The sequence below is a fragment of the Homo sapiens genome, chromosome 5, assembly GCF_000001405.40.
Source record: "Homo sapiens chromosome 5, GRCh38.p14 Primary Assembly".
Classification (NCBI taxonomy): Eukaryota; Metazoa; Chordata; class Mammalia; order Primates; family Hominidae; genus Homo; species Homo sapiens.
In genome coordinates, this window is record NC_000005.10 from 131,555,964 (window position 1) to 131,577,444 (window position 21,481).

The 21,481-nt window shown below is 37.9% G+C and overlaps 1 protein-coding gene across 6 annotated transcripts in view; it reads right to left on the reverse strand.

The window, feature by feature from the left end:
* RAPGEF6 (Rap guanine nucleotide exchange factor 6) overlaps nucleotides 1–21,481 on the reverse strand; it is a 211,309-nt gene that overhangs the window by 132,043 nt on the left and 57,785 nt on the right. For all 6 annotated transcript variants that reach the window (NM_016340.6, NM_001164388.2, NM_001164386.2 and 3 more), the window contains exon 5: nucleotides 6,015–6,084. In NM_016340.6, coding sequence (NP_057424.3) covers nucleotides 6,015–6,084 — 70 coding nt within the window. The remainder of the gene's footprint in view (nucleotides 1–6,014; nucleotides 6,085–21,481) is intronic.

Here is a 21,481-nt window from a genome sequence, read left to right on the forward strand (position 1 = left end):
CAACCTGTAAAGCATGTTACTGTACTGAACACCATAGGCAATTATAACACAATGTTAAGTATCTGTGTATCGAAACACAGAAAAGGTACAGTAAAAATACAGTATTATAATTTTATGGAACCATTGTCATACATGTGATCAGTCATAACCAGCAGTGCAGGACTGTATGGAAAACTGTAAAAAGACCACTAGTAGGCTGGGCTCAGTGGCTCACGCCTGTAATCCCAGCACTTCGGGAGGCCGAGGTGGGTGGATCACCTGAGGTCAGGAGTTTGAGGCTAGCCTGACCAACATGGTGAAACTCATCTCTACTAAAAATACAAAAATTAGCTGGGAGTGGTGGTGTGTGCCTGTAATCTCAGCTACTCGGGAGGCTGAGGTTGCAGTGAGCCGAGATCATGCCACTGCACTCCAGCCTGGGCAACAGATCAAGACTCTGTCTCAAAAATAATAATAAGAAGAAGAAAAGACCACTAGTAACACCAACAATGAGACAACTGGCTCCTAGTAACACCAACAATGAGACATACTACATTAGGAATGTACAGTTAAAATACTGTGTCTTAAAGTCACCAGAAATAATAATTCTTCATGGAATTATACCAAAATTTTACATATATTAAAATCACTTATTTTGTTTTTTGGGGGGAAGAGTAAATTTTTTCTCCTTTTGAATTGCTTTTAGTACATAAAAAGATTTACATGGCTCCCCTAAAATTGCTCTTCTTTCTCAGGTTTCTTCTAGTTCTCCTTGCTTTTTTTATTCTTTTAAATGGCACAAAATGCAAAACACAAAATAAACACTATACTTGATGGCATATTTCACTGGGATTTCATTATATTCATAAGGTAAACTAACAAAAAGTAATATCCTTACTATGGTAACTCCATACCTAAGAACATGGTATCTCTTTTTTTGTTCAAGTTTAATTTTTTTATTTCAGGGGTATTTAAACACATTATTTCTGCACATTTGTTAAGTTTAATCTTAAGTGTTTTGTTTGTTGGTTTTATAGACGGGAGTCTATGTTGCCCAGGCTGGAGTGCAGTGGCTATTCACAGACAGGAATAATTGGGACTGCAGACGTGTGTCACAACACCCAGCTTAAGTACTTCTCATACAGTTTTTGTAAATATATTCTTCTTCCCTTATGTGACATATGTTACAGATCAATTCCTTTATCCCCATTTTTAAAATATCCTGGGATTATGATGGGGACTGCACTAAATTTTAGACAAATTTTGAGATAATTTGTATCTTAAAAATATTGTCTCAACTGATTTAAAAAGATCTAAAAACAACTTTTTAAGGTTTTCTGTGTAAAGGTCTCCTACAACTTTTTTCAGATTTAATCTGATGTATATAGATGGTTTTGATGTTTATAAATGGTACGTTTATAAAATTCAATTTTCTACTTGCTTGTAAGGAAAAATACAATTGATTTTTATGTATGAACGAGTATCCAACGACCTTGTTGAAATGACATAAATTTCAAAAGTTCACACTTAGGTAATTTGGGGTTTTCTACATACAAATCATGTCATCTGTAAATCACAGTTTTATATTTTTTTCCAATCTCTTTTTTCCCCTGCCTAAATGCATCTCCTAGCCAATAGTTTTGGTATGGTGAGCTTTCTCCATATATTCCCAAATGTTGGGAGAAAGTTTTCAATGTTTATTATAGGGTTTCTGCAGGTAACAATTAGGTTATAAAAGTTTCATTCCCTTCCTAGCTTGCTAAAAGCTTTTAAAATCATGAACGGGTTCTGATTATCAAGAGCTTTTTCTGCATCCATAGAAATGATTACCTGATTTTTTTCTTTAATTATATCAATGTAGTGAATCACACATTCAAATGCTAAATCAATTTGTGATTCTGGAACTAAATTCAATGTAGTCATGTTGTTTTATCCTCTGTATGTATTACTGAAATTGGACTACCTAAAATGTTAAGATTTTTACATTTATTTTCATTTAAAAATACTAACCTATAATACTGCTTTTGTATAATGCCCTTGTTAGGCTGTTATAAAAATTAAAATAGGCTCATAAAATAAGGCAAAGAAGTTAAAGTTTTTCTATTTCCTATTAGATGCTAAGTATTATTTCTTCTTTAAATGTTTGGAAAAATTTACCAGTGAAGCCACATGGGTCTGAATTTCTAAATGAAAAGGTTTATAATTACAGATTCACTTTCTTTTCTAGATATTGGCTTGTGCAGATCTTCTGTTTGTGTGTGTATATGCCAGTTTGGTTTTTTTTTTTTTTTTCCAAGGAATTTGACTAAAACTTCAAACTTACTTGCTTTAAGCTTTCCATACCATCTCCCTTATTAGCATTTTAAAAATGTTTGCTAGATCGTAGTAGTGAATCCTTTTTCCTTCCTGATACTGATTGTATGACATGTTTTATTTTTGATTATCTTTGACGGGTTTATCAATTTTCTTAGTCTTTTCTGAGACTCAACCTTGTCCTTTGTCAATCCTCATTATTCTAAGTTTGCTTTTATGCCACTGATATTTATTTTTATATTGATCTTTACTATTTCTTGGCTTGTGATTACTATTCATATGCTGCTCTTTAATTTCCTGACATGAATACTTTACTGTCAGCCTTTGCTCTTATAGCACTAGGGCTTAAATTTCACAACAAGAAAGGCTTACGCTGAATTCTACACATTTTAATAGGTCATATTTATTCATTTAAAATATTTTCTAATTTTCTAAGTAATTCTTCTTTGACAAGCGATTTAGAGCATACGCCTGAATTTCAGAAGTTGTATTTTTTTTTCTAGCTGTGTTTTTATAATTGGTTTTTAAATTAATTTCATGGTGGTCAGAAACTATAAAATTTTAAATACTGAAATTTTGAGACTTGCTTTATGTCCCAGCATGTGGTCAAATTTAAAAAACATTCCATGTGCACTTGAAAAGTAGGCGTACTCTGTTGTTGATAAGTGTAGTGTTCCCTGTTATGTCTCTTAGGTAAAATGTGTACATGATGAGGTTCAAATCCTCAATATCCTTACTGACTCATGGTGGTTGTTTTGTCAGTTACTTTAGAGGTATATTAAAATCTCCTGGCCAGGCAAAGCGGCTCACACCTGTTAATCCCAGCGCTTTGGGAGGCCGAGGCAAGAGGATCACCTCAGGTCAGGAGTTCAAAACCAGCCTGGCCAACATGGCAAAACACTGTCTCTACTAAAAATACAAAAATTAGCTGCACGTGGTGGCGCACACCTGTAATCCCAGCTACCTGGGAGGCTGAGGCAGGAGAATCACTTAAGTCTGGGAGACAGAGGTTGCAGTGAGCTGAGATTATGCCACTGCACCCCAGCCTAGACGAGAGAGCAAAACTCCATCACAAAATGAAAATAAAAATAAAAATAAAAATAAAAATCTCCCACTGTGATTGTGGGTTTGTCTAGTTCTGATTTTACTAAGGACAATTTTTGTTTTATGTATTTTGAAGGCATGTAAAGCTTCAGGATTGTGTAACCTTGATACAATTAACCTTTTATCACTATACAGTACCATTCTTACATTAAATAATGCTTCTTGCCTAAAAGTATACTTTGGGCCAGGCATGGTGGCTCACACCTGTAAGTCCAACACTTGGGAGGTTGAGGTGGGAGGATTGTTTGAGGTCAAGAGTTCGAGATCAGCCTGTGAAACATAGCAAGGCTGTCTCTACAAAAACAATAACAACAACAACAACAACAACAAATTAGCTGGGTATGGTGGGGTGCATCTGTAGTCCCAGCTACTTGAGAGACTGAGGAGAGAGGCTCACTTGAGCCCAGGAGTCCAAGGCTGCGCTGAGCTATCGCACCACCGCACACTCTACTCTCGGTAAGCCCCTTTTCTTTAAGAAAAAAAGAAAAAAAAAAAAGAAAAAAAAAAGTTAAAACAAGGAGATTACTTTACAATGTGTCAGATTAAGATGACTAACTTATCAGGTGATCAAGAATGTGTTCAGTAACAGACACTTCCAATCACCAGTGGAGTTAATCAAATCTGTACAAATAGACAAAACCATTTGACCAGGCATTTTTAACAATTCTGAAAAATTTCACCTATTTTGGATTGTTTTCTCCTATAACTCATAAAGCATTTAAAATTATACCAATCATCAATAAATTTAAATTTTTGAAATTTAAAAATTACCAGCCATAAATACATATACTTGATGTGACTTTTTATTTTATATACTTGTTTTTCTGAAATACTGAAGAATAAATTGGAGATATAATGCTTCTTGACCCCAAAATATGTCAACATGTAACTGCTAACAATAAGGACTTTGTCTTACAGAACCACAGTATGGTTATCAAACTCAGGGAATTTGATATTATCCAATCTGTAGTGCATATTTTGAATTCATCAATTGCACCAACAATGTCATTTATAGCTATGCCTATGATTTCTCCTTTTCTTCCTCCTCATATGAAAATATTACATAAAGTATGTAAAACAAGCACTAAAACAGAATGTATAACACTGAAGTAAAAGCAGTATTTCTTTTGCATATAGTATGAGAAATACAAAATACAACTAAAAAGTCAGAAAATCAATACTGCCTGGGCAGTTTTCTTGCCATGTTCCTCAATACATACATTAAAAAGAAAGAATTCTGAGGCTCTAATAGGAATCCCATATATTCAGTGCTTAAAGAAAATAAATTTGAAACAATACATACTCCATCCTTGAAAAAACTTGAATTCAAGAAACATTCACTGAATACTTACTATGCAGGCAGTACTCTGCGATACTCTCGGAGACACAAGTGGAATAAGACATAATCTTTGCCCTGTAAGAGCTTAAAATCCAGTTGCTCACATAAAATTAGGGATAGTGAGTTCATGGTTATACAGATGATCCAGTTTAAGAAAGAGAAAACAAACTATTTGAAGGTATCAATCTGACTATAGCACCATGAAATGGAAAAGTAGTTTGGTTTTGAGCCCTTACATTAAAATGCTTCATTAAGAATTCAATTTCTCTTCTTGACAGTTCAAATCTAATCAGATGACATGGTCATCTACATGAGATCCTAGTAGGACAATGAGTCCACTCGGTATATGCTGTTTTCTAGTCAGGTCATCTTAGAACAACGTAAAAAGCAAGCTGTGTTCTTGATTCTTCTAATACTTAAAAAAAAAAATTCTAAAGTTACATCAACTACTTAGCTCTTTTAAGAAAAAATAAAGAATTATTCCTTAAATACACTCTTAAATAAAAACTTATCTTAAATAATTAAAAAGTGAAAATACTAACACCATTTCTTACTTGGATCTAATTGTATGTCTTTTTACTTTTCTCTACTTCATTCTCTCTAGTCTAGGGCACAGACTATAGAATTCAAAGTTTATTGAAAAAGTAAAATTGAATGGGAAAGAAGAAATCACCTGAGGCTGGGCGCAGTGACCCACGCCTGTAATCTCAGCACTTTGGGAGGCCAAGGCAGATGGATCACCTGAGGTCAGGAGTTCGAGACCAGCCTGGCCAACATGGTGAAACCCCCATGGCTGCTAAAAAATAGAAAAACTAGCTGGGAATGGTGCCAGGTGCCTGTAATCCCAGCTACTCAGGAGGCTAGGGCAGGAAAACTGCTTAAACCTAGGAGGCGGAGGTTGCAGTGAGCCAAGACTGCACCATTGCACTCCAGCCTGGGCACCAAGAATGAAACTCTGTCTCAAAAAAAAAAAAAAAAAAAAAAATCACTTGAAAACTCATGGTCCCCTTTTAAAACTTCTAATTTTCTGGTAGAAGGGGGTAAAAAATACCAAATCTGCAAATTATATGTAAGTGTATCATGTTTCACACTCTCTTGAGGATCAAAAAAAGTCTGAAGAGACAGAAATAGATAAACCTGGTAGATAGTTCTGATGCTACTTGATGAAATCTCTAAAAGGTCATAGTAATAAAACCTCCTTAAGTGTTTAAAGCCTACTACATTTAAAGTTAAAACTGAAGCATATCAAAAACAATTCAGCATTCTTTAAAGTTCTTACCACAATCATTTCTGAAGGCTCTAATACAAGACAATCACATCCTCTTTTTCCTCCAAACTGCTTACCAAAACTATAAAAACAGAAAAACAATTTCTTTAGCAAAGGTTATTAATAAAATATATCAATATAGGAAAAGAAAACAAACAAACAACAAAAAAGCCCTGAGATATTATCCAAGAAATTCTGATCCTGTCACAATATTTATGTTAAGATTTTCTAAAAAAGAAAGAAAAAAAAAAACCTTTCTCTTAATTGTCCAGATATAACTGATCTCAATACTATATGAAAATTCTTTTTAAACTTCTGCCTTTAACTAGTCCCTAAAATTAATTATAAAAGATAACTGTCTAATCTCAAATTTCTAACATCTGTCAATATACGTTGCACAAAGAAAAAAATACACTTAGTAAAAATCTAATAAAAGTGATAACCTGATTAGGCAATTTAATAAAAGTAAATTATTATAATCTTTTGGGAGCAGTGTTAAGACAACAGATACTAAAAATAAAAAAACTTAAAAAATATTCACACTTGAGTAGTCTCTTGGTATCCAACTGGGATTGGTTCCAGAATCCCCAAGGATACAAAAATCTACCAGTGCTCAAGCGCCTAACATAAAATGATGTAGCATTTGCATATAACCTATGTGCATCCTTCCATATGCTTTAAATCAACTTGAGATTTTTAATAATACCTAATACACGGGAAATGCTACATAAATAGTTGTTATGCTTTATTGCTTAGGGAATAATGACAAGTAAAACAAGTCTATATATGCTTAGTAGAGATGCAACCATCCATTTTTTTTTCCAGGATCAGCAGTTGCTTGAATTAATGGATGTGAAACCCACGGATATGAAGTGCCAACTATATATAAAGAAATGTAGTTAGATATAAAGATGACTTCTTAAAAGAAAGTGTTGGAGTCACAGCTCTTTGGAAAAAACTAAAGCTGGACCAGTACTAAAAGACAGTATTTTTATATTCTTGGTCTCAGAAAGATTTCTCAGCATATCAAAAAGAAAGCAACCACAGAGAAAAAGATAGGTTTCCATTTTAAAAGATAACCTGAATTTTTTTTAATGAAGAATAAAAAAAAGCCCTGTCAACTATACTAAGACACAAATGACTTACATATGAAATATACAGAGCTCACTCAAAATAATGATAAAGCAACCAAAAGTATTATCATATATGAAAATTTAGTGCCAGTGTCAGTTAGTAAATAAAACATATAAATATTACTCCAAAATAACCAAATGGAAAAAAAACATTAATCATTCAAACAAAACAAAATACCAAAAAACATCTAATAAATAAATAAGTCATTTATAAAGAAAATTATACAACTTCATTGATGGGCTAGAAACAAAGCTTAAAGTAACATAGCTATACTTTTATGGGAAGGTTAAATATTTAAAAATGTCAATTTCCCAAAGTATAAGGTTCTATACAAATAACAGTTAATAACAAAATTCTAATCAAAATCCAAACAAAATAACTTTTGAACATAACCAAAAAATCACTTATGTTTTTTCTTCGAGACAGCATCTCACTCTGTGATCACCCAGGCTGCAGTGCAGTGGTGCAATCACGGCTCACTGTAGCCTCGACATCCCTGGGCTCAGGTGATCTTCCCATATCAGTCCCAAGTAGCTGGGACTACAGGCATGCACTACCATGCCTGGCGAATTTTTTAAATTTTTTGTAGAGACAGGGGTTTTGTCATTTTCACTATGCTGGTCTTGAACTCCTGGGCTCAAGCAATCCACCCACCTTGGCCTCCCAAAGTGCTAGGATTACAGGCGTGAGCCACTGCACCAGGCCTCACTTGTTTTTTCTTAAGCAGAAGATCCTTATCTTTTGTTTCCCCCAAATTCTTGTATCACCTAATACATTTAAAAAAGCAAATCTGTAAAAGTTTGCTTTCATGCAAGATGGAATAACAGGGACTGGGTTTACTCTCCCACCTGAGGACAAAAACAGAAAACAAAACAAAATATATAAAACAACAATTTCAAGACACCAAAAAGAAGGCAGGGCAGGGCTGTAATTCCTGAGGGAGGAAACAAAAAACTAAGATGACTCTTGCAATACACCATTTTACCACCTACAGGCAAGAGAAGCGTAACACAGCCTGACAATTTCGCTGAGTTGAAAAGCTAATAAGCGTTTTGGGGTGTGGATGACAGGGGAAAGATACTTAGAATTTGCAAGGCAGTGTTCCTGAAAAGAGGGAGAGCAGCAAAGAGATACGGGGAGAGAGAGAACAACATTGTGCACAAGAGTATGCATGAGCATTTGTGTGCATATATGCTTTGAAGAAAGGTCCTCTTGAGTCTTTGAGTGAGTACTGTGGATATGTGAGAACAAAGAGTCACAGAGGAAAGACGACATAATACATGGGGTACTAGGTAGGGTCCTCAGGAATGTATTTCCTCAGTAACAAAATAAATTAGTCCCACACTAAAGTGCTGAACTTGCGCAAATACATTTAAAAGATAAAGCTCAGAATAATCAAATAGATTCCAATTAGCTAGACTATACGTTAGAACAAAACCCAATACCACCTAAAGAGATGCAAAAGCTGGAACCCAGTGACATAAAATTCATGATGACATCAATAAAGAAACAAGCAACAACAAACCAGGCATGCAAAGAAACAGGAAAATATAATCCATAACCAAGAGAAAAAAACAACCAATAAAAACAGACCCAGAACTATCAGAAGTATAGAAATCAACAGACAACAATATTATAATAGCTATTGCTATGTGTGTTTTGTATGTTAAAGAAAGTAACGATAAATACGAACACAACAGAGAGATATAAAAAAGACCTAATGCAATGTTCTATCAAATCACATATGCAGACACATAAGGTCTGTTTGTTCCATTTATCAGTAATGTTAAAATTGGTGAGTAGCTTCAGACAGTGTCAACTTGACCCACCATTTATAAAGTTTCCTCTCAATTTTCCATCTATTAGTTTTAGCATTTTTTTTATCAGTACGTAGACTGAAAGCATTATTAGGGCTATTAAAATACGTATTTTATATTTTGATCATCCTTTCTGAATTTATTAGCTGGGGGCACTAATATAAACTCTCAACTATTTGAGTTCCTAGAACTACTGTTTATATAAAGTGAATTCACTGTATATAAAGTGAATCCTACAAAAAAGCTTCAGAAATATATTAATTTAGCAAGATTGAATAATAAAAGCGCAATACCCAAAAATCAATTGTTTTATTGTATATTAGCAACAATCAGAAAATAAAATCTTTTGACTCCATTAAAAATAGAATAAAAATGATACATTTATCAAAATACACACAAGACTTCTACAAAGTTACAAATTTAAAAACTATGAAACATTGCTGAGAAAAATTGAAGACCTGATTAAAAAGAGATATATCTTGTTTATGGATTAAAATGGCAATTCTCTCCGAAGTGTTCTACAGATTCAATACAATCACAATAAAAATCCCAGAAAGTCACCTTGGAGGACTGACATAATGACCCTAAAATTTACATGGAATTGTAAAGAGCCTAAAATAGCTAAAACAACTTTGGAAAATAAGAACAAAGTTGAAATATTTATAATATCAGATTCTGGCACACTATTAAAGCTAGAATACTCAAGACAATGTGGTATTTGATCAACTTATAGATCAATAAAACAGGATAGAGAGAACAAAAGGAGACCCATAAATACATGTTCAACTGATTTTTGGCAAAGGTACCAAAAGAATTCAATGGAGAAAGATAATCTTTCCTATAAATGGTGGGAAACAACCAGATATCAATACAGAAGAAACAAAGGCAGTGGGGGATGGAGCTCTTAATATAACACCATAAACAAAAATTAATTATAAGTGGATCAGAACCAGGTATAGTGGCTCACGCCTGTAATCCCAGCACTTTGGGAGGCAGAGGCTAGCAAATAGCTTGAGCTCAGGAGTTCAAGACCAGCCTGTCCAACATGGCAAAACCTCGTCTCTACAAAAAAACACAAAAATCAGCCAGGCATGATGGTGCATGCCTGTAGTCCCAGTTACTCGGAAGGTTGAGGCAGGAGGATCACTTGTGCCTGGGAGGTCCAGGCTGCAGTGAGCCATGAGCATGCCACTGCACTCCAGCCTGGGTGACAGAATGAGACTCTGTCTCAATAAAGAAAGAAAAAAAAAAAAGGATCAGGGATACAAATTTAAAAATTAAAACTAAAATATAATAATAAAATTTTTGTACATTCCCTATATCAGAAAGTTCCCTTCTGTATGTCTAGTTTGTTCAAATACTTTATGCTGAATGAGTTTTAGATTTTTCCCAGAAGCTTTTTCTGCATTTATTGAAAGGATCATGTGGTTTTTGCCTATTATTTTATTAATAAAGTATACTGTGTTAACTGACTTACAAATGCCAAACCAACCTTCCATTCCTGGGATAATCCCAACTTGATCATGGTATAAAATACTTTAAATATAAACCAGGATTCTGTTTTCTGTTATTCTGTTAACAATTTCCGCATGTATATTCATGAGGAATAATAATCTGGAATTTTTTTTCTTGTGATTTTTGCCTAGTATTGGTAGCAGTAATACTGGACTAACAGAAATGAGCTGAAAGCATTTTCTCTACCATTACCCTAATACAAAGTCTTTTGGAATGTATGTAATAATGCTTCTTATGTTTGAAAACATTCAGCTGTAAAGTTATCTGGGTCTAGACTTCTCTCTGTACTCAAAGTTTCTTTTTCTTTTTTTTTTTTGAGCCTTTTTTTGTAATGTATGTCTTTGCAAGATTTGCCCAATTTATTGATAGCAAGTTGATCATAAATTTCCTTTGTAGGCCGGGCGCGGTGGCTGACACCTATAATCCCAGCACTTTGGGAAGCCGAGGCAGGTGGATCACCTGAGGTCAGGAGTTCGAGACCAGCCTGGCCTGTCTCTACTAAAAATACAAAATTTATCTGGGCGTGGTGGTATGCACCTGTAATCTTAGCTACTCAGGAGGCTGAGGCAGGAGAATCACTTGAACCCGGGAAGTGGAGTTTGCAGTGAGCCAAGATCATGCCATTGCACTCCAGCCTGGGCGACAAGAGCAAAACTCTTGTCTCAAAAAAAAAAAAAAAATCCTTTGTAATATTTAAAATTTCTTTAGGATGTTAATGTCCCCTCTTTTATGCCTGATTCTGGAAATTTGTATCTTTTTTTTCATGGTCAGTCTAACTCAAAGTTTATCAAGTTTTGTTAAACTTTTGAAAGAGCCAACTTTTTGTTTCAATGATGTTTCTCTGTTATCTTTCTTGTGTTTATTTCATTGATTTCCACTTGAACCTTCCTTGAGCTTGCTTTTGAGTATACTCTGTTCTTTTCATTCTTAAGATGACTAGATCAAAACCATTCTTTTCTCATAAATATGATCTAAATTTCCCTGAAAGTACTGCTTTAGCTGCATCCCATAAATTTTGATGTGTGTTCACTTCCACTGTGTTCAAAATATTTTCTTCTAATTTCTCTTGAAGTCTTCCTTGGTCTATTATTCATTTACAAATGTTATCTAAGTTCTCCTATTTCTTTCTGATATTGATTTATAACAGAATTGCACTGTAGTCAGTGGACAAACTTCAAATGATTTCATTCCTTTCAATGTAATGAGACTTGTGTTATGTTACTAGATTATACGCCCTATCCTGGAGAATGACCCATAAATCTTGAAAAAAAAGATTATATATCAGATCAAAGTGGTTGGTAATACTTTTCAAGCTATACCTTTACTAATTTTCAGTCTAGTGGTTCTATTATTGAAAGACTTTTGAAATCACAAACTATAATAGTTGAACTCCTACTAATCCTTTCAATTCTGTCAGTTTTTACTTCATATATTTTGAAGCTCTGCTATTAAATATACAATAAAAATTGCTATGTATTCCTAATGTATTAATCCTTTTAACACTACGAAATTTTGCTTCTGGTCTCTAGTAATATTTCTTGTCTTAAAATCTATTTTGACTCAGGCTCTAGTTCTCTCATGAATATAGTTTGCCTGGTATATCTCTCAATCCTTTTCAACTTATTTGTGCTTTTACAGCTAAAGTGTGTTTCCTGTATACAGCAGATAATAGGATTTTGAATTGTCACAGAACCTGATAATCTCTTTTGATTGGAATATTTAGACTATGCACATGTAATGAAATTACTAACTTGTCTGGATTATGTCTTCCATTTTCCTATTTTTTAAATGTCTCATCTGTTTTGTTCCTCTGTTCTTCCTGTACTACTATCATTTCTGTCAAATATTTTTGTTTAGTATCCCATTTTAATTCCTTTGTTGATTTTTTAAATGTTATTTTTGTTATTTTTTTTTTTTAGAGATAGGGTCTCATTCTGTTGCTGAGTTGGAGTGAAGTGGCATGATCATAGCTCACTGCAGCCTAAAACTCCTGGGCTCAAGCTATCCTCTCGCCTCAGCCTCTTGAGTAGCAAAGACTGCAAGTGTACACCACCACACACGTTTTTTTGTAGAGACAGGGGTCTCCCTATGTTGACAAGCAGATCTCAAACTCCTGGCCTCAAGTGATCCTCTGGCCTTGGCCTCTCAAACCACTGGTATTACAGGCATGAGCCACACTGTACCTGGCTGATTTTTGTTATATTCTTGATGGTTAATCTGTGGGATTGCAATATGCTTCAGGAACAAGCAAAGGTGGTCCACTCTCACCACTTCCAATCTACTCCATACTGGAGACTCTCACCAGTACAATAAGGCAAGAAAAGACATTAAAGGCATACAGACTGGAAAGAAAGAAATGAAACTATGTTTAACATAGTAGACTGATCCTGCATGTAGAAAATTCTAAGGAATCTACAAATATAAACTACTAGATCTAATAAAAGATTATATCAAGGTCACAGGATATAAGATCAATATGCAAAAACCAACTGTATTTCTATATACTAGCAATGAATAATATGAAAATGAAATTAAGATACAATTCCATTCATAATCCTATTAAGAAGAATAAAATATTTGGAAATGATTTAACAAAAGTGTAAGACTTATACACTGAAAAATACAAAATATTGCTGAAAGAAATAAAAGATAAATATATGCAGAAGCAAGCCATGTTCATAGGCTGGAAACACAATATAGTTAAGACTGCAATTCTCCCCAAATTAATCTATAGATTCAAATCATTTCCTATCAAAACCCCAACAGGCTTTACGGTATAAATTGACAAGCAAATCCTTAAATGTATATGAATATACAAAAACCTAAAATAGCCAAAGCCATTATAAAAACGAACAAAGTTGTAAGACTTACTGGATTTGAAGTTACAATAAAGCTACAATAATCAAGACAGTCAGGATTGGTACCAAGACAGAAAAATAGTTAAAGGAGACAGAACAAATGGTACAGAAAACAAACACACATATTTATGGTTAACTGATTTTCAACAAAGGTACCAAGGCAATTCAATGGGGAAAAAAACAGCCTTTTCAATAAACCATGCTAGGTAAAATGAATATGCAAATATCCATATGCAAAAATATATATATACAAACAAAACAAAAAATTAACTCACAATGGATCACAGACCAAAATGTAAGAACTAAATTTTAAAACTTTTAGAAAAAACTGTAAGATGAAATAATCGTGAGGTTGAAGATTTCTTAGCTATGACACCAAAAGCTCTATTCTCAAAAATAAACCTTAAAGTAGATATCATCAATATTAAAGTTTTATGCTTCAAAAGACACTATTAAGAAGTCACAGACTGGCTGGGCACGGTGGCACACGCCTGTAATCCCAGCACTTTGGGAGGCTGAGGTGGGCAGATCACTTGAGGTCAGGAGTTTGAGGCCAGCCTGGCCAACGTGGTGCAACCCCCATCTCTACTAAAAATAGAAAAATTAGCCAGGCGTAGTAGTGGGCATTTGCAATCCCAGCTACTTGGGAGGCTGAGGCAGGAGAATTGCTTGACCCCGGGAGGCAGAGGTTGCAGTGAGCTGAGATCACACCACTGTACTCCAACCTGCGGAGCAGAGCAAGACTCTGTCTCAAAAAAAAAAAAAAAAAAAAAAAAAAAAGCCAGAGACTGAGAGAAATTATATGAAAACTACATATATGACATAGAACTTGGATCCAAAATAGATACATTCTTACAATTTGATAAGACAGTACAATTTAAAAATGGAGAAAATGTCTGAATAGACATTTCACCAAAGAAGATACAGGAATGTCTAGTAAGCACATAAAAAGACCCCCTACATCACTCATCACTACTGAACTACAAATTAACATCACAGTAAGACACTGTTAAATATACACCAGAATGGCAAATAATATAAAAGACTGTCAATACCAAGTGGTGGTCAGAATGTAAAATGGTACAGTCATTTTATAAACAATTTGGTCTTTTCCCAAGAAGTTAAACATGTACTTACATAACACAGCAATTCTACTCCTGCATATCTATAATAAAGAAGTGAAAACACATGGCCATATAAAGACTTTTATGTAAATTTTGATAGAAGCATTTTTGTGACAGCCCCAAATTAAAACTAAAATTTTCAATTTTTAAAATCTTCTGAATGGATAGACAAAATGCAGTATCAACAATTTAAAAAATGGACATGCTAGAATTGATATGTGCTAAAACATGGGTGAGCTATAAAAACATTATGCTAAATGAAAAAAACTAGATTAAAAAACTATACAACATATTCCATTTACATAAAATAGCAGAAAATTAAATTTTAAGTAAAATACTCTCTCTATATGTAAAATACTCTCTCTCCAGAAAGCCAAACAGTGGTTGTCTGATGAAGAAGGTGTGGAAAGTAGAGATTACAGAGGGGCAACCAGATAAAGGTCATCTATGAAAAATTTAGAGCTAAGATTACAGTTGGTGAAAAACTGAATGAACGCTTCCAACTCCCCACGTCTTCATCCCCAACTACTTTTTTTTTTTTTTTTTTTTGAGAGGGAGTCTGGTTCTGTCATCCAGGCTGGAATGCAGTGGCGCAATCTCCACTCACTGCAACCTCCGCCTCCCAGGTTCAAGCAATTCTCGTGCCTCAGCCTCCCAAGTAGGTGGCTTGGGTACATGCCACCACACCGGGTTAATTTTTGTATTTTTAGTAGAGCCAGGATTTCACCACGTTGGCCAGGTTGGTCTCAAACTCCCAACTTCAGGTGATCCACCCGCCTTGGCCTCCCAAAATGCTGCGATTACAGGTGTAAGCCACCATGCCCCGCCCCCAACTACTTTTTATTAATAGATTGACAACAAGGATGTTTGCTCCACTCTGTCACAACAATGTACTATAGTTTTCCCCTAGTACAACAAGGAAAAAGAAATAAAAGGCATTCAGATCAAAATAAGATCTGAATTCAAAAATTCTTATTCAAAAATAAGAAATGAAGCTGTTTATTCACAGATGACAAGATCACTTACGTACAAAAATACTAAAAAAATATAAAACAGCAATTAGAATAAGTGATTTAATAAGGTTGCAAGATGTAAGATCAGCATATACAATATCTCTACACTGAAAACTGCAAAACATCATTGAGAGAAATTAAAGACCTAAATAAATGGAGTGATGTACCTCATTCATGGTTTAAAAGAATCAACTATTAAGATGTTCACTTCTCCCTAAACTGGTTTATAGATTCAGTGCATTCCCAATCAAAACCTCAGCAGGTGTTTTTGTTTTTAATTAACAAACTGATGCTAGAAATCATACGGAACTGCAAAGAACATATGAAAACAAATAACCAAAACAATTTTTACGAAGTTGGAGGATCCATACTGGTAAGTCCTCTGAGCTGGCCACACCATGGTCAAGCCATCGTGACATTCCCGCCACCACCGCCCCCAGCCTGTGATAATGTACCCTTGTGAATGTACTTTGTAACATTCCTCCCCGCCCTTGTGAATGTTACTTTGTAACATCCTCCCAGCCCTTGAGAATGTACTTTGTAATATCCATCCCCTGCCTGCAAAAAATTGCTCCTAACACCACCGCCTATCTCAAACCTATAAGAACCTATGATAATCCCACCACCTTTCACTGACTCCTTTCTTGGACTCAGCCCACTTGAACCCAAGTGAATAAACAGCTTTGTTGCTCAAACTAAGCCTGCTCAGGTGGTCACTTATATGGACGTGCGTAACATTTGGTGCCGAACACCCAGGACAGGGGAACTCCTTCGGGAGACCGGTCCCCTGTCCTCACGCTCCCTCCGTGAGGAGATCCACCTATGACCCTGGGTCATCAGACCAGCCAGTCCAAGGACCATCTCACCAATTTCAAATCGGTAAGCGGTTCTTCACACTCGGGTAAGCGGTTTTTTCGCTCTCTACCTAACCTCTCTCGCCTCCCTTCAATCTCTCTCCTTTCAATTTCAGTTTCTCTCCCTTCCAGGTAGAGACAAAAAGGAGACACACTTTATCTGAGCATTTAAAAACTCTGACGTCGGTTACTGACTTGGGAAGACACATCTTCCCTTGGTGTCTGATCACCACAGGGACGCCTGCCTTGATCATTCACCCACATTCCCTTGGTGGCAGGTCAACTGTGGAGATGCCTGCTTTGGCTGATCATGCCTGCTTTGGCTGCTCACCCACATTACAGCCCAAGACTCAGTCAGGGACGCCTACTGGAAGCCTGGTAGCTGCCCATCTCCATTTCTCCATGTCTCTACCTTCGTCCTTAAATTTACCTTCTCCACTATGGGCAACCTTCCGCCATCCATTCCTCCCTCTTCCCCCTTAGCCTGTGTTCTTAAAAACCTAAAACCCCTTCAACTAACACCTGACCTAAAACCTAAATGTCTTATTTTCTTCTGTAATACCACTTGGCCCCAATACAAACTCGACAATAGTTCCAAGTGGCCAGAGAAATGGCACTTTCGATTTGTCTTCTTACAAAACCTAGATAATTTTTGTCAAAAATTGCGCAAATGGTCTGAGGTGCCTTACATCCATGCATTTTTTACACTTCGCTCCCTCCCTAGTCTCTGCTCCCAGTGCGACTCATCCCAGACTTTCCTTCTTTCTCTCCCATCTGCTCCTTTCAGTCTCTGCTCCAAGCTCAGAGTCCTCTGAATCCTCCTTTTCCACTGACCACTCTGACCTCTCTCCTTCTCCCCTGGCCGCACCTTGCCAGGCTGAATCAGGTCCCAATTCTTCGGCAGCCTCTGCTCCCCCACTCTATAACCCTTCCATTACCTCCCCTCCTCACACCTGGTCTGGCTTACAGTTTCGTTTAGCAATTAGCTCTCCCCTACCTGCCCAACAATTTCCTCTTACAGAGGTGGCTGGAGCTGAAGGCATAGTCAGGGTACGTGTCCCCTTTTCTCTATCAGACCTTTCCCAAATCAGCCAGCGTTTAGGGTCTTTCTCATCAGACTCCACTAAACATATACAGGAATTCCAATATCTAACTCAGTCCTACAATCTAACCTGGAGTGACTTAAATGGAGTCACTCCATTTAAATGGAGAGGTCGTCCTGACCTCTACCCTCTCCTCAGATGAACAAGAAAGAGTTTACTTTCTAGCCCAGTCCTACGCAGATACCCACCGGCTTCATGAGCCAGGCTTCCAAGAGGGCACCAGGGCAGTTCCCCGAGAGGATTCCCATTGGCAATACCAGACGGACTCCCCAGGTATAGCTAGGCAAGATTACACAGTCTCCTGCCTAGTCAAGTGGCTCAAAAAGGCAGCATACAAAGTTGTTAATTATGACAGGCTAAAGGAAACTACCCACGGTAAAGATGAAAACCCAGCCCAGTTCATGGCCCACTTAGCAGCTACCCTTAGACACTTTACAGCCCTAGACCCAGAGGGGCCAGAAGGCCACCTTATCCTTAATATGCATTTTATCACCCAATCCACTCCTGACATTAGGAAAAAATTCCAAAAGTTGGATTCTGGCCCTTAAACCCCACAACAGGATTTAAACAATCTCACCTTCAAGGTGTTCAATAACAGAGAAGAAGCCACCAAGCAGCAGCGTATCTCTAAATTACAGCTACTTGCCTTCACTGTGAGACAACCCACAACCATGTCTCCAGCATACAAAACCTTCAGAACATCCAAGCCACAGCTCCCATGGGCTCCATCAAAACCTCCTCATGGACCTTGCTTCAAATGCCAAAAGCCTGGCCACTGGGCCTCAGAATGCCTGCAGCCCGGGATTCCTTCTAAGCTGTGCCCTATCTGTGCGGGACCCCACTGGAAGTCAGATTGTCCAATTCACATCGCCGCTGCTCCTAAAGCTCCTGGAGCTCAAACCCAATGTTCCTTGGCCAACTCCTTCCCAGATCTTGGCTTAGCGGCTGAAGACTGACACTGCCCGATCGCCTTGGAAGACCCCTGGACCATCATGGATGCCGAGCTTCGGGTAACTCTTACAGTGGAGGGTAAGTCCATTCCCTGTTTAATCAATACGGGGGCTACCCACTCCACATTACCTTCTTTTCAAGGGCCTGTTTTCCTTGCCTCCATAACTGTTGTGGGTATTGACAGCCAGGCTTCAAGACCCCTTAAAACTCCCCAACTCTGGTGCCAACTTGGACAACATTCTTTTATGCACTCTTTTTTAGTTCTCCCCACCTGCCCAGTTCCCTTATTAGGCCGAGACATTTTAACTAAATTATCTGTTTCCCTGACTATTCCTGGACTACAGCCACACCTCATTGCTGCCCTTTTACCCGATTCAAGGCCTCCTTTGAATCCTCCTCTCGTGTCTCCCTCCCTACCTTAATCCAAAAGTATGGGATACCTCTACTCCCTCCTTGGCGACCAATCAGGCACCCCTTACCATCCCATTAAAACCTAATCACCCTTACCCCGCTCAACGCCAGTACCCCATCCCACAACAGGCTTTAAGAGGACTAAAGCCTGTTATCACTCACCTGTTACAGCATGGCCTTTTAAAGCTCACAAATTCTCCTTACAATTCTCCTATCCTACCTGTCCAGAAACCAGACAAATCTTACAGGTTGGTTCAGGATCTTCGCTTTATTAACCAAATTGTCTTACCTATCCAGCCTGTGGTGCCAAACCCATACACTCTCCTATCCTCCATACCTCCCTCCACAACTCATTATTCTGTCCTCGACCTCAAAGATGCTTTCTTCACTATTCCTTTGCACCCCTCATTCCAACCTCTTTTCACTTTCACATGGATTGACCCTGACAGCCACCAATCTCAGCAACCCACCTGGACTGTACTGCCAAGGCTTCAGAGACAGCCCCCATTACTTTAGTCAAGCTCTTTCTCATGATCTACTTTCTTTCCATCCGTTTCTCACCTTATTCAATATATGGACGACCTTCTCCTCTGCAGCCCCTCTTACGAATCTTCCCAACAGGACATCCTCCTGCTCCTTCAACATCTGTTCTCAAAGAAGTATCGCGTATCCCCCTCTAAAGCCCAGATTTCTTCCCCATCCGTTACCGATCTTGGCATAGTCCTTCATCAAAACACAAGTGCTCTCCCTGCTGTGTCCAGCTAATCTCCGAAACCCCAACCCCTTCTACAAAGCAACAACTCCTTTCCTTCCTAGGCGTGGTTGCACACTTTCGCCTTTGGATACCAGGTTTTGCCATCCTAACTAAACCACTATATAAACTCACAAAGGGAAACCTGACTGACCCCACAGACCCTAAGTCCTTTCCCCATTCTTCTTTTTGTTCCTTAAAGACAGCCCTAGAAACAGCTCCCACATTAGCACTCCCTAATTCATCCCAATCCTTCTTCTTACATATGGCTGAAAAACAAGGCTGTGCGGTCGGAGTTCTCTTACACAGGAATCAGGCCCATGACCTGTAGTCTTCCTATCCAAATAACTTAACCTCACAGTTCTAGGCTGGCCCTCATGTCTACGTGCAGTGGCAGCCACCACTTCAATACTTCTAGAGGCCCTCAAGATCACAAACCATTCCCCACTTACTCTCTACAACTCTCATAACTTTCAAAATCTATTTTTCTCCTCACACTTGAAGCATATACTTTCTGCCCGACTCCTTCAACCGTACTCACTATTCATTGAAACTCCTACAATTACCATTATTCCTGGCACAGACTTCAACCCGGCCTCTCACCTTATACCTAGCACCAAACCTGAACCTCGTGACTGTATCTCTCTAATCCATATGGCATTCTCCCCATTTCCCCATATTTCCCTCTTTCCTGTTCCTAATCCAGACTGCGCTTGGTTTACTGATGGTAGTTCTTCAAGGCCCAATCGTTAGTCATCGGCAAGGGCAGGCTATGCTGTAGTGTCTTCCACATCTGTCACTGAAGCTTCCTGCCCTGCCCGCTTCCACTACCTCTCAACGTGCCAAACTTATTGCTTTAACCCGGGCTCTCACCCTTGCAAAGGGACTACATGTCAATATCTACACTAATTCCAAGTATGCTTTCCACATCCTACATCACCATGCTGTTATATGGGCAGAAAGAGGTTTTCTCACCACACAAGGGTCCTCCATCATCAACGCTTCCTTAATAAGAATCCTCCTTAAGGCTGCTCTACTGCCCAAGGAAGCCGGAGTCATTCACCGCAAGGGGCATCAAAGGTCACCAGATCCCACTGCTTGAGGCAACGCTTATGCTGACAATGCAGCAAAAGTAGCAGCTAGTATTCTCACATCTGTCCCTCACGACCAGTTTTTTTCCTTCTCATTTATCACTCCCACCTATTCTCCCACTGAAACTATTACTTATCAATCCCTTCCTACTCAAGGCAAATGGTTCTTGGATCAAGGAAAATTCCTCCTTCCTGCCTCACAGGCTCATTCTATCTTATCATTCTTTCATGACCTTTTTCATGTGGGTTACAAGCCAATGGCCCATCTCTTAGAACCTCTCATTTCTTTTCCATCATGGAAATCCATCCTCAAGGAAATTATTTCTCAGGGTTCCATCTGCTACTCTACCACCCCTCAGGGATATCTCAGGCCCCCTCCCTTTCCGACACATCAAGCTCGAGGATCTGCCCCCACACAAGACTGGCAGATTGACTTTACCCATATGCCCCGACTCAAAAAACTAAGATACCTTTTGGTCTGGGTAGATACATTCACTGGATGGGTAGAGGCCCACAGGGTCTGAGAAGGCCACCGCAGTCATTTCTTCCTGTCAGACATAATTCCTCAGTTTGACCTTCCCACCTCTATACAGTCCGATAACGGACCGGCCTTCATTAGTCAGGTCCCTCAAGCAGTCTCCCAGGCCTTCGGCATCCAGTGGAACCTTCATTCCCCCTACCATCCTAAATCTTCAGGAATGGTAGAAAGAACTAATGGTCTTTTAAAAACACCTCACCAAACTCAGCCTCCAAATTAAAAAAGACTGGACTGTACTTTTACCATTTGCCCTCCTTAGAATTAGAGCCTGTCCTCAAGAAGCTACAGGGTATAGTCCATTTGAACTTTTATATGGATG